This window comes from Homo sapiens, chromosome 4 (genome assembly GCF_000001405.40).
Source record: "Homo sapiens chromosome 4, GRCh38.p14 Primary Assembly".
Lineage (NCBI taxonomy): Eukaryota > Metazoa > Chordata > Mammalia > Primates > Hominidae > Homo > Homo sapiens.
Genome location: NC_000004.12, coordinates 176,220,021 through 176,238,655, shown reverse-complemented (window position 1 = coordinate 176,238,655; position 18,635 = coordinate 176,220,021). Strand labels below are relative to the sequence as shown.

At 38.5% G+C, this 18,635-nt stretch overlaps 1 protein-coding gene across 4 annotated transcripts in view, besides 6 other annotated features; it reads left to right on the top strand.

Annotated features, from left to right (window-relative positions):
• The window catches only part of ASB5 (ankyrin repeat and SOCS box containing 5), a 63,852-nt gene that overhangs the window by 38,869 nt on the left and 6,348 nt on the right, over positions 1–18,635 (top strand). For 3 of the 4 annotated variants that reach the window (XM_005262759.2, NM_080874.4, XM_011531617.4), the window contains 4 exons: positions 13,315–13,394; positions 16,236–16,343; positions 17,056–17,206; positions 17,367–17,501. In XM_005262759.2, the coding sequence (XP_005262816.1) occupies positions 13,315–13,394; positions 16,236–16,343; positions 17,056–17,206; positions 17,367–17,501 (474 nt within the window). Of the gene's footprint in view, positions 1–6,977; positions 7,494–13,314; positions 13,395–16,235; positions 16,344–17,055; positions 17,207–17,366; positions 17,502–18,635 lie in introns of those variants that run through there. The other variant, NM_001410863.1, reaches the window with a different exon arrangement.
• Positions 4,433–4,602: an enhancer, noted in NCBI's record as "experimental_76293 CRE fragment used in MPRA reporter constructs". NCBI's record gives its function as "activates a minimal promoter by MPRAs in K562 erythroleukemia cells, with activity observed for both the introgressed and non-introgressed 4:177155290 variant alleles {active_cell/tissue: K562}" and the evidence as "EXISTENCE:reporter gene assay evidence [ECO:0000049][PMID:34662402]".
• Positions 10,830–10,999: an enhancer, noted in NCBI's record as "experimental_76286 CRE fragment used in MPRA reporter constructs". NCBI's record gives its function as "activates a minimal promoter by MPRAs in K562 erythroleukemia cells, with activity observed for both the introgressed and non-introgressed 4:177148893 variant alleles {active_cell/tissue: K562}" and the evidence as "EXISTENCE:reporter gene assay evidence [ECO:0000049][PMID:34662402]".
• Positions 11,680–11,849: an enhancer, noted in NCBI's record as "experimental_76283 CRE fragment used in MPRA reporter constructs". NCBI's record gives its function as "activates a minimal promoter by MPRAs in K562 erythroleukemia cells, with activity observed for both the introgressed and non-introgressed 4:177148043 or rs13129964 variant alleles {active_cell/tissue: K562}" and the evidence as "EXISTENCE:reporter gene assay evidence [ECO:0000049][PMID:34662402]".
• Position 11,764: a transcriptional cis regulatory region, noted in NCBI's record as "Neanderthal adaptively introgressed variant 4:177148043 (GRCh37/hg19 assembly coordinates) or rs13129964 in the experimental_76283 CRE". NCBI's record gives its function as "modulates activity of the experimental_76283 enhancer by MPRAs in K562 erythroleukemia cells {active_cell/tissue: K562}" and the evidence as "EXISTENCE:reporter gene assay evidence [ECO:0000049][PMID:34662402]".
• Positions 15,987–16,156: an enhancer, noted in NCBI's record as "experimental_76278 CRE fragment used in MPRA reporter constructs". NCBI's record gives its function as "activates a minimal promoter by MPRAs in K562 erythroleukemia cells, with activity observed for both the introgressed and non-introgressed 4:177143736 variant alleles {active_cell/tissue: K562}" and the evidence as "EXISTENCE:reporter gene assay evidence [ECO:0000049][PMID:34662402]".
• Positions 17,235–17,404: an enhancer, noted in NCBI's record as "experimental_76272 CRE fragment used in MPRA reporter constructs". NCBI's record gives its function as "activates a minimal promoter by MPRAs in K562 erythroleukemia cells, with activity observed for both the introgressed and non-introgressed 4:177142488 variant alleles {active_cell/tissue: K562}" and the evidence as "EXISTENCE:reporter gene assay evidence [ECO:0000049][PMID:34662402]".

Sequence of the window (18,635 nt, the reverse complement as noted above, 5' to 3'; positions counted from 1 at the left end):
AAGATAGATAACAGAATCTGTCACCATATTTCAGCAAGACAGATTTCAGTATGTTAATACTCTGTAACGTGATCACCAGCTCAGTTAATCCTTGGAGTCCTATCATAGTTCGGTCGCTGCTCTTGATTCCATCATAGACTCTGTGCCTTTTTCAACTTTATAGGCCAGTAAAAAATACCAGGCACATGTTTGGTTTTTCCTCTCATCCTGCCAACTACCCTTTCCTCTGCCTTTTAGGGTGAAAAATCTCAGCTGTACTTAAATTGACTGCTGACGTCTTTTGATTTAGAGATGACCTCTAGAAAAATCACAATAGTGAGCTGTGCCTATATAAATAAGAGGACTGTGATTTTGTATTGAAGCCAATTCTAAACTTAGATCCTTGCAAAATGAAAACATGAGCTGGCTACCAGCTGACCGTAATGCACTTTTTTTTTTTTTTTTTTTTTGAGACGGAGTCTCCTTCTGTCGCCCAGGCTGGAGTGCAGTGGTACAATCTCTGCCTCCCGGGTTCAAGTGATTCTCCCGCCTCAGCCTTCTGAGTAGCTGGGACTACAGGCGCCCCGTCCCTATGTCCAGCTAATTTTTGTATTTTTAGTAAAGACGGGGTTTCACCACGTTGGCCAGGCTGGTCTCTAACCCCTGACCTCAGGTGATCTGCCTGCCTCGGCCTCCCAAGGTGCTGGGATTACAGGCGTGAGCCACCACGCCCAGCCCTAAGGCACATCTCATACTTACTCCTGAGGATGAAGGAGAAAGGCTAACCTAGTCACTGATCACTACTGAGCTTTCTGGCTGCAATATTCTGTCTGCAGTCATTATCAACAGGCAATTTTACATTTGATTGATTTGTAGGTTCTTTAAATAGGCTTTTATCTTTTAACGATAGAGCTCATTTCTATTCTGTTTCGACTAGGAAAAGCAATTATACCCACTTTTTACTTTCTATATCACACAAATAGTTAAAGACTTCCGGCTGCAGCATGTCTCTGCTTTAAAAATAGAAAATGCTCCAGCATTTCTGGCCCATCCTCCACATTGCACCTACCAGCCCTGATCCAAGTGTTTCTGAATAGAGTTCAATGTTGAAGACATCTCAAGTTAGCACACAGGAACCTTTGTGAAAGTCTGAAGGGAAGGAAAAAATAGTTAGAAATCCAGACGCTGATATTTCTTCTTGCTAGAGCATTTGCACTTATGACACCTGGTTGTCACAGACAAAAAACGTCAACCAAACTATGTCCGCAGATATTGCTGTTGAAATGAACTGCATTAAGCAGGTCCTCACGAAAAGAAGGCTAGTGAGTATAGAGGAATGTTCTTCTAAACGAAAAGCTAGCTGGGGTATTCTGACCAGTCAAGGTTAGTATAGCAGCCATTTCAAATCTGTCAGTGTCCTGAAATAAACCACATTGGCCTGTTTTTGCAAATACTAACTTTAAACTGCGGGTGCTTTCCAGAATGCGGATTGAAATGCACATGTATGGCATGGCAAAGGACTGCTCTGTATTCTTGCCTTTTCGTGTATGGAAACTGCATCGGCTGACTCATTTTTGTGACTGTATATTAAACATGACTGCAAACTCTTAGACTCTGGTTTGTTTACCTTTCTGTTTCAGCAGGTGTTTCTAAGTTGGTATGGAAACAAGGAAAGATGCTATTAAGCAGGAAAAGACTGTTTACAGGCAATATGGAAATTTTAAATCATGTAAATTAGACATCAAGTAGGAGGATGATTTAGGCAAGAAAATGAGTAGAGCAACTTCCTAAAAGTGTTCTGACACGAAGTCATTAATTATAATGATAGAAAACTATGAAAGATAGAAAGGAGAATGAGCACAGTACCAAAGAGGAGGAATTATTTTTAAAAAGGAATATCCATACATTTGCATAAGTTTTAGTAGAACACCAGTATGATAGATGATAAATTTAAGGGTCGAAAATGCAGATTCAGAGAGAAAATGACTCTTGCCCCCCAAGATTGTAAGAGTTATATTTACTATGTAATAGCTGGAGCTTGAAGAATGTTATTATAAATGATTATGTTTTTCAAACATACAAAGCATATTTTCAAATAGGCTAAAACACTATAATTTCTTTCAAAGTTTGAGAAAGCAACTGGATCCCTACTCCCCACCCCAATACACATTTCCTTTTTGTTACTTTTCAACAACATAATTAACAACAAAATTGAGAAATATACCAGCAAGGAAAAAAGTGGTTGACTACAAAGAAGACAATTCAACAATTCAACAAATGCCTATCCAGTGTTGACTGCGTGCTAGACACTGTGCTAGAGGCGGGGAGCAGCAATAAGTAGTCTCATCATTTCATGGTCCTTAAAGTCCAGAAGGAATGCAATTATTAAAGAAATAAAGACAATCCTGTCATTTCTTAAATGAAGGGTAAGTTACCTAACTATGCACTAAACCGCAGGCATTAGCAACATAATAGAACTGTGTCAATGGCAAAAATTAAAAAAAAAAAATTAAGTAAACTAATTCACCTGGATGAGTCTCACATATCTTCAATGCAGATAGAGACTCTAAAGGAAGTTGAAAATAAGCTATCGTTTTATGTCAAAAATCTAATTTTCTATACAATTTTTTTTCGACATGCCTTAAATATACTGAAAATATAGAGCCAGGCCCAGTGGCACATACCTGTTATTCCAGTGACTCAGAAGGCTGAGGCAGGAGGATTGCTTGAGCCTGATTTGAAGGCTGCAGTGAGCGATGTTCAGAACATCACTGCCCTCCAGTCTGGATGACAGAGCAAGATTCTGTCTCTGAAAAAAAGGAGAAGAAAAAATATATAATAAAAAAAATGCCCCCATGCTATGATTTAAAATAAAAAAAAAAAAGACAAGTCTTAGCAAACTTTCACTAGATTTAGCTTTACATTTTCCCAGTGCTGTTAATGAGAATGTAAATAGGATCAGTCTTGCTGGAGGTAATTTGATGGTATGTGTCAAAATTTTAGGAATTTACCCTAAGCAGATAATTATTCACAAAGATAAGTAATAATATTTGATTTCCCAAAACTAAAAGCCACCTAAACATCATTTGATAGATAATTAAATAAATAAATACACACATAATGCTCTAGCTATATGATTAAATACATATCAATATATCATAATCACTTGTGGTAGAACTATATTTTTTCACATAGAACAATGACCATGAGATATCTTAAATGAAAACAAATCAGTTAAAAACCTTACAAACACTATGATTGTATCTTGATTAAAAAATGTGTGTTTCTAGAAAAAAGTTGGAAAGATACACCCTAAAATGTTTATAATGGTTGTACTTAGAAATAAGCACTATGATTTCTTGTGTATGTCAAATTTCACTTATTTAATGTACAACTTTTATAATCAATAAGGTATTATAGTTAATAGTACTGTATTGCTGTGTTTTGCTACTATTTCAAATATACTATTATTATATGAAAATGTAGAAAACACAATTCCACAATTCTTCCTTTTATTGAAGTAACTCTTCATTTGTCTAGTCTGTTAGTTACATTTATTATGGACTCATTATGGAATAACAGTCCACCAAGTGCCCTATGAGTTCTAGGGTTGAAAAGAATATTGTACCCTAAAATTTCAACTGGACATTCAAAAGAACGGAGTTTGCTTCCTGGCTTTGTCAGTTATTGTTTATAACTTGAGGCAAGTTATTTAATTCCCCTAAGTCCTAATGCAATGGAAATCATAACATTGACTTTCTTAAGAACACACTTTGTGTTAGACACTTCTCATGTCCATGTAACCCTTAGAACAACTAGAATATGTAAGTATGATTGCCCCCATTTTATAGTGAGGAAACTGAAACTTAGCAGTGTAAAAAACAGAGTGAGCCAATATGTGATAGAGTCAGGAGTCCAATTCGGATATGCCTCCTTTCACAGCCCTTGATTTTAACCCCATTACAAAGCTCCATACGGCTGCTCAGACAAGGTTCTAATGAAGCTGGGTGTGATCATGTGACTTTGAGCACTCATTCATGCAACAAACATTCACTGATGTGCTAGGTATTGAGGATATGGTAATGAATGAAATCAACTGAGTCTCGCTTTCTAAGGTCTAGCATTCTAGTAATAAGTGCTGAGAAGAAAAGTAGAGCAGGGAAAGGAGACAAAGCATGAATGTTGGGGAAGGGACAGGGAGGATTTTTTAATAGAAGGTTGTCAAGAAGGCCTCTCTGATAAGGTGATATTTCAGAGAGCACTAAAGTCAGAGAACAAGTGATGTGGGTCTCAGAAAGGAGTACTTCAGAAAGAGCAAACAGAAGGTTGTGTAAGGAAAAGCAAGGAGGCCAGTATGTCTGGATGAGGATGATGGGCCTAGGAAAAAGTGGGTAGAACCCGAGATCAGAGCCTGGAGAGTTCATAGGTCATGACAAAGACTTCGGATTTTATTCCAGGTGTGAAGGGAAGCCATGGGATTCTTTCTAACTTCCAAAGGATTGCTTTGGCTCCCATGTTTAGTACAGACTACTGGAAGGGCATGGGCAGAAACACACTGACTAGTTAGGAGACTTTTGCAATACATCAGATGAGAATAATGGTGGCTTGGACTAGGGTATAGTGGTGGAGGCTGAGATACAAAGTTTGGATACATTTAAATGATAGAGGCAAAATGACTTCCTGGTGTGCGCCTGGTGGGTGTGAGAAACAGAAACTAAGGATTATGCAGAGGGTTTTGGCCTTGAAGCACCTGGATGAGTGCAGTTGCCATTTGCGGATCGGGAGAAGTTAGGAGTAAGGAATCAAGGGTTCGGTTTGGGACATGTTAAGTTGTATTACCTATTTAGATATTCAAGTGGAGAAGTTGAACAGCCAAACCTAAAATTGGGGTAATCAATATGTGGATAATATTTATGTTCATGGCACTAGAAGGGAGCTCCTCAAGAGTTAATGTAGATAGATGCAAAGACTGAGCTTGGATGATGAGGACTCAAGGTGGGAAAAGAAACTACCGCAACAATGGAAAAAAACACTGGGCCAAAAACAACTGACTCCTTTCAAAGAAGCACACGAAACACTCAATATATAAAGTTTCCTTGACAATTATTGCGGTTAAATTTGAGACCATATTATCATTACCAGGTGATGGAGGGAAATGGTAACACTGTTTAAACCAATAGAGAAATGAAAAAAGACTAGCTAATCTTAAGAGAAAGATGCTGGCTTTTAGAAATGGATTGAGATGCCAGGAAAATATCTAGGTGAATCCCCAGAAGTAAATTTTAACATGTGGCGCTGAAATTTGTGGGAGAGATCAGCGTGGGAGCTATGTAGATTAGAGTAATCCATATGCATGTAATAATTGTTACTAAATTTTGACAATATCTATTTTTGTCTCCTACAGATATATAGCCAAGAGGAATAAGATGAGATAAAGCATCTTTATCTTAAATAAGTTATCCTTCCTTCTGTTTAGAAGATGTAGTTAAAAGCTGATGGGGAAGATATATGAAAGTAATTGTTTAAAATGAAATTTGGGTTGTATTTGTGATGTTTCAAATGCATTTAGTACTGTGCTAAGTACTTTACATTCATTACAATTCAGTGAGGCAGGTAGACTCATCCTTGTTTTTACAGTTGAGAAAACTGGGTTTCAAGATGTTAACTGCCAAAGGTCACATAACTAGTAAATATCTATGCTGGAATTTGAACTCAGGTCTATCTTATAGTTAAATCCAGCATGCTCTATCCATGGCACCAGTGATCAGTAATAGTTAATTGAGATAGCTGATAGCTTGAAAATTATTGTGCTTAAATTTGAGACCATATGATTATTACCAGGTGATGGAGGGAAATGGTAACACTGTTTAAACCAATAGAGAAGTGAAAAAGGAATAGCTAGTCTTAAGAGAAAGATGTTGGCTTTTAGAAATGCATTGAGATGCCAGACATTATTTCCCTTGAAACCATGTTTCAAGGATTTCTGTGGCTCTGTGGTTGTCTGAAAGTATACAATAAAGGCTAGTAAATGCCTGGTGATTTTTAATTTGCTTATAAACTTGTGAGTAGAGATGGGCTACATGTTGTCAAGTCTGAAGCTTATACTGTATACACTTTGGGGGCTCCTTTAAGAAAAGTAACATGAAATTAGGGACAGAGTCTTAGAAGGGGAGTCTGTGCAGGTTAAGGGTTTCACTGGCTTCATGGTAAATCCACCTCCATTGTGAAGACGATTGTTGGTTTAATATTTTACAGGGGCCAGGCTCGGTGGCTCACATCTATTCCAGCACTTTGGGAGGCCGAGGCGGGTGGATCATCTGAGGTCAGGAGTTGGAGACCAGCCTGACTAACATGGTGAAACCCCCATCTTTACTAAAAATACAAAAATCAGATGGGTGTGTTGGCACATGTCTGTAATCCTAGCTACTTGGGTGGCTGAGGCAGGGGAATCACTGGAACCTGGGAGGTGGAGGTTGCAGTGAGCCGAGATCGCACCATTGCACTACAGCCTGGGTGACAAGAGCAAAACTCCAACTCAAAAAAAAAAAGTATATATATATATATATAAAATAGGTAAGAGATCTGAAAAAGGTATTGCCATTTTTTACTGAAATGAACATGTTATATGAAATGTCATTGCTTATTCCCTCTCCTTATAATTAATTCCCTAATTTTCCTATTTTGAGAACACTGAGGAAGAGCAGGTGTGGCTAAACTCTGCACCATTGCTAAGCTAGCTCTCTATTGAGTCCACATCCTGCTTCTGCTGATGGGATGTTCTAAGATTGGGAGCAGGTAAAGACTTTTTTGTTTATTTGTTTTGTTTTGTTTTGAGACAGAGTCTCACTCTGTTGCCCAAGCTGGAGTGCAGTATTGGGAACACAGCTCACTGCAGCCTCAAACTCGGGCTCTAGCGATCTTCTCATCTCAGGACTTCCCTAGTAGCTGGCATTTACAGGGGCATGCCACCATGCCCAGATAATTTTTTTTAATTTACATTTTTTTTTTTTTTTTTTTGCAGAGACAAGTTCTCACTATGTTGCCCAGGCTGATCTCAAACTCCTGGGCTCAAATGATCCTTCAGCCTCAGCCTCCAGAGCAGCTGGGGTTACAGGCATAAGCCACCCACCCCCGGCCACAAAGACATTTATAACAATAATATGGTTTTTCCATGGCCATGGACAGAGGTCTAATTGTAGTGCTTTTATTTCAATTCAGGGCACATACTGTAAGGAGAAAAAAATAAGTTAGGACCAGCAGTTTCTCAAATAAAGAGGAGTGATCAATAAGAAAAAGCAATTTTGGAAATAAATCACCTTTTCAAAAGCTGTTTTTCTTTTTGGAGGCCGACGGTCATATTACAAGGAGCTTGGAGCTCCTTAAAATGGCCGAACAGAACTGGCAAATGACAAGTGATTTTTTCTTTTCTTGCTGATAAAAAAAAAAAAAAATTATGAGTCGGATTTACCTCGACAGTGGCTGGTGTGAAGTGCCGTGGGGAGATGGTGATTTAGGTATGGTATCAAACCTTACAAAATCGCATAGATATAAAAATGTGAGTGTTTTTCTCTAGCAATGTGGTGTTTACAAAACAGGGCAGGCTCTCTCCCTGTAAATTATATACCAGATGTCTGGGAACAAGAGTTGCTTCTAAATATAGGCAGAGCCACCTCCTGTGTAGCTACAGAGAGAGAATAACTAGGAATTTGATTAGCATGGTGAAAGTTACAGACACTTTGTAAAACAATTTCACACTGAATAATTTATCCTAAAGAGTTAAATTACACATTTTTTAAAGTAAGGGTTGCATTGCTTTTATCTTAGACACTCAATGAAAGTCTAACACAATTATAAAATTACTAAGTAGTTGCACATAAAGATATTTATATCTTGTTTGGTCTTGAGATGGCTCGTAAATCTCTCTGATATAAAGCATATTGATATTGAAAGATAAGATATTTAATATTAAATATGTTTGAATAGAAATACGTAGTTGCTAAATTTCGGATTTTGAAGGGGAAGAACAAGGTGTGAAAACTTAGTTCATACAGAAATTGGAATGTGATATACATTGTAGTATCCTTTGATTCTCATATGTTATTAGATTAATTACATAAATTCTTCTAAGGGATTACAAGAAAATAAATAACAGGGACATAAATACAGAGTTCAAAACAAATAAAAAGATTCTTTTTCATTGAGTGGTATACATGTTCTAGAAATTACTTCTTTAATAGATTGATAGAGCTTCATTTCTTATTTCAGAAAGAAAAAATATAACAGCAGTTGTTGGTTGCTGGCTTATATATATTTATAAATCACTCAATTGTTTTATGTCATTTAATTAAGGTGACAGCACACAAAAATATTTTAGTCAATAAATGATGTTGTTTATTACTTTAGTTTCCCTATCTTGGGGGAAAAGATTGTTCCCTAAAACTCATCTTAAAATCTCCCCCATTTACCAGCTTATGTTTAGCCAATAATGCTAGTTATTATTTATTGTGCATTTAGAGAGCAGGCACTTAACATTCTCATTTCTAATCCTCCCTCAATCCTGCTTCATGGATTGTGCTTTTCTCATTTGATGAGGAAACAAAACCTCAGGGAGGTTAGATGACTTTATAAAGGCCACTGTCCTGAGCTGGGGTGCCAATCCAGGCCTGCCCAGCCCCTCAGCTTTTTTCCTACACCCGATCCCATTTCTCACTTCCTCCTGCTCTCTATTTTCTTCTCCTCCTTCTGCTCTCCACTCCCACCCCCTTCTTCAAGGAATAGTGAGAGATTGCAAGGCCCTTTGCAGGCGAGCAGAGCTCAGTTCATGAAATGATAGCATGTGCCTTGTTCCTGCAAGATGGGCCAAGGGCTCCCTCATCCAACATTCAAAACTCGTTTCTGAGAATGACAATGACATTAAACTTTTTCATGCCAAAGGAGGTCCTATTAATAGAAATAATAGCAAGTGCACATACGTAATATCTGGCTTCAGTTTTTTTTTTTCCTGTCCCCATCTTGATGGACTTAAGTTTGGATGATAAAGAAAATGGCAGTGGGGACAGAAAGCTAAGCGACAGCCTGGGGGGAAACAGGGGGATGCGATTTGGATACTTATGTTTCTTTATTTTGTCCCTTATGTGGCCTGCTTTCTAAATAATCCTGTCCTTCTCTCTCTCTCTCAACCCTAGCAAGTAATGCTGAAATTGTTCAGAAGACTAATACAATCATTTTGATGAACAAACACATTAGTATGCAAGGGAGAAGAGCTGGCTGGAAGGAATATCAAGTACCCTTCAGCTACAAATATTGTTAGCTTTACTTCCCCTTAAAGGTCATCATGGTATACTAGAAAGGAATGAGTCCAGAATGAATCCCAAAGGCCACGTCTCTAGGCCTTTACATTCCCAACAACATCTGGTTAATTTTCCTGTTAACTAGTGACAATGGAAAAATAGGCAGGGATAATGGGTCGGCATCATATAGTTCAGCACCTGTGTTTAAGAGATAAATTAAGGATAATGAAATATACTATTATACAAGAGGGAAACTGATCATTATAAATATTATAAGTGGTTATTTAAATTTAAACACATTTAGGCATTGATTACTAAAATTTTTATTAATTTATTATTGCTTTGCTGATTGAACTGAACAAAGTGGCTTCACATATGCAATCTGTTTGCAAAGTTAGTATTATAATTTTCATATTTTCTTAAATATTTAAGTGTTCACAAAAAATTGATATATGTTGTGAAGTTCTGCAGAATTTCATTCTGCAATCATGTTGTTTAATGATCATACAAACAGATGCCTGTGATTTTTAAAGCATCAGATTTCATCTTAGAAGCCGGAACTGGCAAAATGCTTTCCCCAAAAGAACATTATTTATGATGATAACGTTTGCATATTACCTAATGATAACACAATGTTCCAATTTCCTATAAGTTATGACCTTGCCACCAATTTTTGTCCTACCAAAAAATATTTGCTGGTGTGCATTATTGCAATTCTGCCTTGAATATATAATAGAACTGTCACACAGTAGAAAGAAGTAATACATAAAAGCTAATCACAGTAACTTGTTGCAAATGAAAACTCAAAAGAATTATGTGTCTGGCTTACTAATTTTTCTAGATAAGCAAGAAATAACACTAGATGGAAACTTATATCTGTTATTGAGAGAGAAAGTATACATTAGTCTTCTTTTGGGAGTTGTAATGTCTTTAATTGTAAACCTCAATTATCGTTATTCTGTAATTCAAGATAAACACCCATGCAAGAAACTGGCTGGGAGTTCTATCATTTCAGGGACGTATTCAAGGAATTGCTTTTCTTCTTATAAATATGTGATAAGACTTAACTGTCATTGTCTTTTTTTCTCTCGACATCAGGGAGCAGAAGAAATTTGCTGAAAGGGAATCAGAATGAAACAGACTATATATTAAAATAGTAAGAGATGATTAATAAAGACTGTGTAGACAATAGAAATTCCCTGACTATCTAAGAAACAGAACCCAATATGAGAAAAGTACTTTTAATTTTCATCCCACTAAATTAAAAAGATCTTGCTAAAACTTCGAATCATAGTTAGCCTTTGCCTCCCTAATTTGTTTACTTACAATTTAGCATGGATTACAACATTCCTGCACTATTGCTATAGTATCTTGTTGCAGTAAACTTTATCTTGTCAAGCAACAGCCTACTTTTGCCGAGAATAAAATGAAATAAAACTTCTCTTTAGACTGAAGGGTTTTATTTTGGAGGGGGTGTTAGAAGGAAAAATACAGTAATGAAATCAATGACAGGAACAAAATGTCCCAGAGAGATGTATGCTGTTACCACTGGCTAAAATGTTTCACAGACTCTGTGCATGAGAGAGAGTGTGTGTGTATTGAGAGATAGGATTGCTATCTCTCAACAAGTGAAAAGTGTTGTCACTGCAGGTAGGAGGCTGCAGTTTGAATTTTACATCCACCCCTTTCTAGCTGTGTGACCTTAGGCAAGTTATTTAACTTCTGCATGTCTCAGTTTCCTCACCTGGAAAACAGAGATAATAATAGCGCCAACCTCAAAGGATCAGGGTGAGGATAAAACAAGTAAATTTATGCCCAGCAACCAGGGCAGGACATGGGCATATGGTGAGGACTGTGTAAGCGTTCTCTGCTTTTATTTAGGCAATCAGGTTATCATTAAATAAGTTGGTTTTTCTCAATGTTAAGATTGTTGTTACTCCAGCCTGGTGCAGAGGGCAGAAGTCATTTACCAGTCATCAATCCCTTTGTATCTGGTAATATTACAGAATTTTCTCAGAAATACAAATCCTAAGGGAAAGCAGGCAGAGTCTCTCTTCTCTCTGTTGACTTACAAGTAATGGTAATAGCAGGTAATGTTGAATGGTGTTTACTATGTGTGTACACTAGTCTAAGCACAATGTATACTATCTGATTTAGTTTCTCATATCTCCTTGAGGTATATACAATTATTATTTCCATCCTCAACTAGAGGAAATGAAATCTAGATGAAATGTAATGATTTAGAGAGTCATATGGTCTAACTCCAGAGCTGATGCTCCTAGCCCTGACTGCCATGACCACTCATTGTCTTCTTTGTTTTGCCTTTTGGTTTATGCAGAGTGATTTTACTGCAGGGGAGATAACTAGCTGTCTTGGAAGTCTTTCCTTACCACAATGGTGATACCCGTTTTATAGCAACAGGCAATAGAATGCTTAAGCACTAGGACACTGTTGAGTCATTCAGGAGAGCTTGGGTGCAGAAGCAGGGCTCATGCTTCACTTCAGACGCGGGGCTCAGCTACTTGCCCTCCATGGCAACATGTTGCAGCCCCTACACCGCAGAGCCCAGGCAAGCTGGGGTGGGGGGACCACAGGAAATAGCAGAAGGAGCTGGGAGTGTGGCGAGGTGGGCATTCAAGCTGCTATTCCTGCTAAAGGGACAAAACAAAATTGAGAGGAGGGGTTCAATGTGAAAAAACATGAAACAGAACTTTTTTGTGGCTGATCTGGTGGCCTTAATTCTCTTTTTCTCTGTCAGGTGTATTAGTCAGGGTTCTCCAGAGAGACAGAACCAATAGCTGATAAATAGATAGATACCTAGATACATAGACAGAGAAAGACGCAGCTATATGAGAGGAGATTAGGGGAATTGGCTCACATGACTATGGAGGCTGAGAAGTCCCTCAACAGGCTGTCTGCAAGCTGGAGACCCTGGGATGAGGTAGCGTGGCTCAGTCCAAGTACAAAAGCCTCAGAACCAGGAAAGCCAATATAATTCTCAGTCAGAGGTCAAAGGCCTGAGAATCCAGGGGACCACTGAAGTCCTAGAGTCTCAAGGTCAGAGAAAGCCTGGAGTTCTGATGTCCAAGGGCAGGAGGAGGAGAGTGTCCCAACTCGAGGAGAGTGTTCCAACACCAGGAGAGGTTTTTTTGTTCTCTCCAGGCCCCCAGCCATATGATGGTGCCCATCCATACTGCAAGCAGCTCTCTCTACTCAGCCACCTACTCACAAGACAATCTCCTCTGGAAACACCCTCACAGACACACTCATAAGCAATGCTTTACCCATTCTCTAGGTGTTCTTTAATTCAGTCAGGTTGACACCTGAAATTTACCATCACTAATCCATCCCTTGTCAACGTGGCACCTATATGCATCTTCTTAAGCTATACTTAATCTCCAAAATAAATGCAGCAACAAGGTAATGGTTGGAAGAAAAATGTTGCTAGTGAGTCACTAGGGTTAATAGTGAGTGCAGATAATTCAAAAGGCATAGTAAGCCGGGGGCAGTGGCTCACGCCTGTAATCCCAGCACTTTGGGAGACCAAGGCAGGTGGATCACTTGAGGTCAGGACTTCAAGACCAGCCTGGCCAACATGGTGAAACCCTGTCTCTACTAAAAATACAAAAATGATCCGGGCGTGGTGGTGTGCGCCTGTAGTCCCTGCTACTCGAGAAACTGAGGCGGGATAATCTCTTGACATGGGAGACAGAGGTTGTACTGAGCTGAGATCATGCCACTGCACTCCAGCCTGGGCAACAGGGCGAGACTCCATCTATTAAATAAAATAAAAAATTTAAAAAGGCACAGTAAGTCTGGGGTGGGTCAATTCCAGAGCATGCATCATGGCTCATGTTGGGAACTGCCTATCTGGTTCCTGCAATAAGAGTCAAATTTCCTAATGTACAGTATAAGTATCTGGCTCACCCTGTTGAACACTGAGTGTGAATAATTTATGTGATCTTGGTATTGATTGTGTCTACTGGGATTCACTTTGACTCTTGGATTTTTGTTTTCTTTTCTTTCTTTTTTTCTTTTTTGACAGGTTCCTGGGCAGATCGATCACCACTACATGAAGCAGCAAGTCAAGGTCGCCTTCTTGCTCTGAGAACATTATTATCACAGGTAATATATTACATATAGTTTAAAATATACCCCCTTTCCATGTGCACAGAACATGGTCAAAACCAATCAATGCAAATATGATAAAACCACTTACATTTTACTTCTGCCCTTTTATTTTAACTCATGTCAGAGAAGTCAATAGTTTCTCACTTATCTTTGAAACTTCTTTTATAAATATTTTGATATAATTGTATGTCTTAGTATTTCAGATTTCTCAGACAGCATATTTGTTCATCGATAGACATTTAAAGAAGTAATGATTGGATTTATGTGTTATTGATTGAGCTTTCTAAATATGCTTAACTCTGCACAATATGTGCAGCTAATTACAGACTTAGTTCAATAATAACATATCCAAAAAGAAGTCACCAGTTCAGATGCCAAAGCAATCTTTTTTAACATTGTGGTGATCTGTAATATGCTATGGGCAATTGCCTAACAAAGCTACAGGACAATCATTTCTATATTTGCCTGTTCATCAGACTCACCAGAGGAAAAATAAAAAACACAAATCCTTATTGAAACAGAAAACACTTTGGCTTGGGTATTTTTTTTTTTGAAGCTTCTGATGTAATTCAAATGCACAGCTAGGCTGGCACAATGGCTCACGCTTGTGATTCCAGCACTTTGGGAGGCGGAGGCAGGTGGATCACCTGAGGTCAGGAGTTCGAGACCAGCCTGGCCAACATGGTGAAACTCCATCTCTACTACAAATTAAAAAAAAAATAGCTGGGCACAGTGGCTCACGCCTGTAATTCCAACACTTTGGGAGGCGGAGGCATGTGGATCACCTGAGGTCAGGAGTTTGAGACCAGCCTGGCCAACGTGGTGAAACCCCATCTCTACTAAAACTACAAAAATGATCCGGGCATGGTGGCTTGCACCTGTAGTCCCAGCTACTTGGGAGGCTGAGGCAGGAGAATCAATTGAACCTGGGAGGCAGAGGTTGCCGTGAGCCAAGTTCACGCCATTGCACTCCAGCCTAGGCGACAGAGCAAGTGAGACTCCCTCTCAAAAAAAAAAAAAAAAAAAAAAAAAAATCAAATGCACATCCAGATCTGGAAGTCATGCGCTACTGTTTCCCAGTCTCAAGGAGAAAGAACATTCTCAGATGGCTACGAAGAAAGGAAAGGTCATGTTGCCCAATTTAAAAAGCATTGCCTGGGTCTCAAGACCTGGATCCTAGGCTGGCACTTGAGGTGAATCACAACCTACCTGAGCCTCCTTTTCTCATCTGTAGAGTGAGACACTTCCTTAGGGCCTTCCAGTTCTGTGATAACCATGTGACTGTTTTGTTTTGTTCATCACTTGATGGGAGGAAAATAAACACTAAAAAGGGGTCAACAAATTCTAAAGGGTAATTCCTCAGAAAGGGCCGTGTGGTTCTTTGAAGAAGAGCAGTCTTAGGACATTTTTCAGTGTGTGTCTCTAATCCACTGACAGTTCAGCCAAGAATCATGAGAGGCTGTCCCCAGAGCCCGATGTGAAAGGGAGTCTTGGCCTTCTCAGGTGCTTCTGACATCTGGTCCCTCTAGTGTGTGGCAGTGTGGGATTAGCTTCCCAGGTCTGACTGCTGGCTAGCCAACTCAAAATCTTTGAAAGGATTATGTTTTCTTGCCTTCATTTAAAAATTCTTCATGTCTATATTGGTGTTACAGATTTTGGTGATCTGTAATATGTTATGAAGATTTGGCTTTGAGGTTCTTCCTGTTACAGTGCTTAGTATGATTGTCAATAGACAATGAAATACCAAAGATATCAAGAAGGCAAACAATCTCACATCCTAATAGTATTTAATTATTTTAGTGTGATATTTTGAGTTTGATTGGAATACAGTGAAAAAGTGTTTACTTAGTTTTGATTGAATAATTACAATAAAATGATGTCTTCATATGCTGGGCATTATAATGATAATTGCTTTACATGCATGATCTCATTTAATTGTCATGATAATCTTCAAATTTAGAGGTTAAGGTATTTGTCCAAATTAAAACTATTCGTGATGGAGCCACACTTCAAACCCAAGTCTAATTGATTTTATAGTCAGAATTCTTAACCACTAGTGCACAACTTCATCATACCTATTTAGGGACAAAAGTTCACAAAACTGTTTACTATAGTTTAGAGTATTTTTCTCCCATTCTTGGCTGACCTATAATTTTATAGCCTCAATCAAAACAAGTTGGCCGGGCGCGGTGGCTCACACCTGTAATTCCAGCACTTTGGGAGGCCAAGGTGGGTGGATCACGAGGTCAGGAGATCAAGACCATCCTGGCTAACACAGTGCAACCCCGTGTCTACTAAAAATACAAAAAAATTAGCCCGGCCTTGTGGTGGGCGCCTGTAGTCCCAGCTACTCGGGAGGCTGAGGCAGGAGAATGGCATGAACCCGGGAGGCGGAGCTTGCAGTGAGCCGAGATTGCGCCACTGCACTCCAGCTTGGGTGACAGAGTGAGGCTCCATCTCAAAACAAAAACAAAAACAAAACAACAAGTCTTTAGTTCTACAAAACGAGTGTTTAGTTCTACAGAACAAAGTACAAAATAAGGATAAAAAAATATTAAGAAAGCAACATTTAAAGAAAATGTGCCAGAATCTATTGAACCAAATACTTAAGGCATTATTGGGTCCAGACATGAGGGTGCCACAATAATAGGGCTAAGGAGTCTGAACAACGGATTGACCCTATGGCATTTGAACTGGCCTATCCTGCTAAACTGGAAACTCGTTTGCCTGAGATTCTTTGATGTCTAAAATATATCACTCTCTAGTGACATCCATATAGATGATTTTTTAAGTATATAACTCTTTGCTCACCTTTCAAAATTATGCCACATTTAGGGTTATAATGTAAATGCAGTAACCTTAGACCATGTCACCCCATTGCACGAAGCCTGCCTTGGAGATCACGTGGCATGTGCCAGAACTCTGCTGGAAGCAGGAGCTAATGTAAGTACCTTTCAAAACATTAATCATTTAACATCTACTGACGGAGGGAATCCAACAGAGTTCTCATTTTACTTTTCTTTCCTTCATTCTCGGTAGTTTTCAAAAATAGCAGAATAAAAATAAAGCTCTTGAATTCCTTAGTCTTCTTATTGCACTCTAAAAAGGATTTCCAATCATTGCATAAATGGGTAGCATGCTGCATCATAATATAGACTATTCTGTAGGTTATTTCCTGCTTTCATGACTGTAAATAGCAATCGATGAACATCTTTAGGTCTATAACGTTTGCCCATCTTTTGGATGATTTTCCTTAAATAAAGTCTCAGAAATAGAACTACCAATTTTACCACTTTAAACTAGCAATGTGGCTTCATTACAACTTCATCATCATTACACTTTTTTCTTCATTTTTACTCTTACTGAAAAGTATCTAATCATTGAATTAGATCTTATTTGCCATTTGAGCATGCATTTTTTCATGATTTCCACTAGTTTTATGCCCATTCCAATGAATTATCTGCCATATCATATTTCTGTCTGTTTTACAGCTTTTCTTGTTAATGCATAAGAGCAAAGTATACTTTGTCATATTTAATGTGCACATTTTCCTACGTATTTCTGTTAGCAAATCACATACCTTTTGACAATGCCTAAGTCGGTTACTCATGTATGACTTATGAATCTTATGTTTGGATATTTTGGTTTGGTTTAGGTAAATGCAATCACGATAGATGGCGTGACTCCGTTATTCAACGCATGCTCCCAAGGCAGTCCAAGCTGTGCAGAGCTGCTTCTGGAGTATGGTGCCAAAGCCCAGCTGGAGTCATGTCTTCCATCCCCAACGCATGAGGCCGCCAGTAAAGGTAACTTAGTTCTGGGATTAAGTGACAAGGGAAGAAAGTTTCTTTAGCAACCTGCAGTGCTCTGTTGATCTTTCAATGAATGACACCACAAGGGAAGCCTGGGGTGAGGTGTGTGGGGTGGATGGGCATTAAGTTAAACTCCTCTACTTTGTGTTGGCAGGTCACCATGAATGTCTTGACATCCTGATATCCTGGGGCATAGATGTTGACCAAGAAATTCCTCATTTGGGAACTCCTCTCTATGTAGCTTGTATGTCACAGCAATTCCATTGCATCTGGAAGCTTCTTTATGCTGGTATTTTCCTTTAAAACATCTTCCATTCTGTCCATACACACAAGCAGTTATTTATTTCTCTAAATGAGCATCTTTAAAAATTAGATCTCATTGCTAAAAAATGTTCTTATTTTAAGCATTTTCACACATGAATAGAGAACCAATAAAAAAGAACCTCATTCTTGATAAGCAATAAAAAAGAACCTCGTTCTTGATAAGTCGGCTTCCTAGCTCACAGATAGATACATAATCTCTATATTTTGCATGCACTGCATTAGCAGACATTTGGGTATGTAATGGATTCTGAAAGCTCTACTTTTATCATAAAATTAGGATCCTCAAGATTGAATATGATGTTGCCAAGTATGTATATGTCTTGGAACAAATCCATCAAAAGAAATTTTCAGGATAGTAACTGCTTGGACAACCTCGTCTTCTGCTAACCTTAAAAACTCATGCACTTTTCTAGACTTTGTACTTTCTGTCCTGCTTACTTGAAAAGACTTACTGCCCTTTTCCACTTACTTGAAACAAATCAATTCCTCAAGGTTTGTTTCAAGTAAATTCAGCTTTAGTCCCCTGAAAAACATTCCTAACCCACTGAGGCCATAGTGGTCCCACTTACCATAGGACTCAGAGTCCCCTTACGATTTGGATCATACCTTTTTTTCCCATCCCTCTTTTCTTTAGCGTCGTTCCTCTCTCTCATCCTCTCATCTGATAGATGTTTAGAATATAAATAAAATGAGTAAATGGAGTTCTATGCTATTTATTGTTTATGAGAATCATTCGATCCCTGATAAATGCTGACCTTTATTTTTAGTAGCCCTTTTATGCACTACTCACATTATCTTAGCTAGCTGAGAAACTTCTTGCAAGCAGGGTCTACATCTACTATTTCATTCTCATTACACCTACTCAGTCTTAGACATGAGTTCTGTTAATAGTCATTGACAGATTGTTATTTTTTGGCTATGTTCTCCCTCCCATGAATTTTGTATGATCAATAGAGTTTATGCTTTCTAGCAAGCTTGTCCAACCTGCGGCCTGTGGGCCCCATGCGGCCCAGGATGGCTTTGAATGCAGCCCAATCAAAATTCATAAACTTTCTTAAAACATTATAAGTTTTTGGTTTGTTTGTTTGTTTTAGCTCAT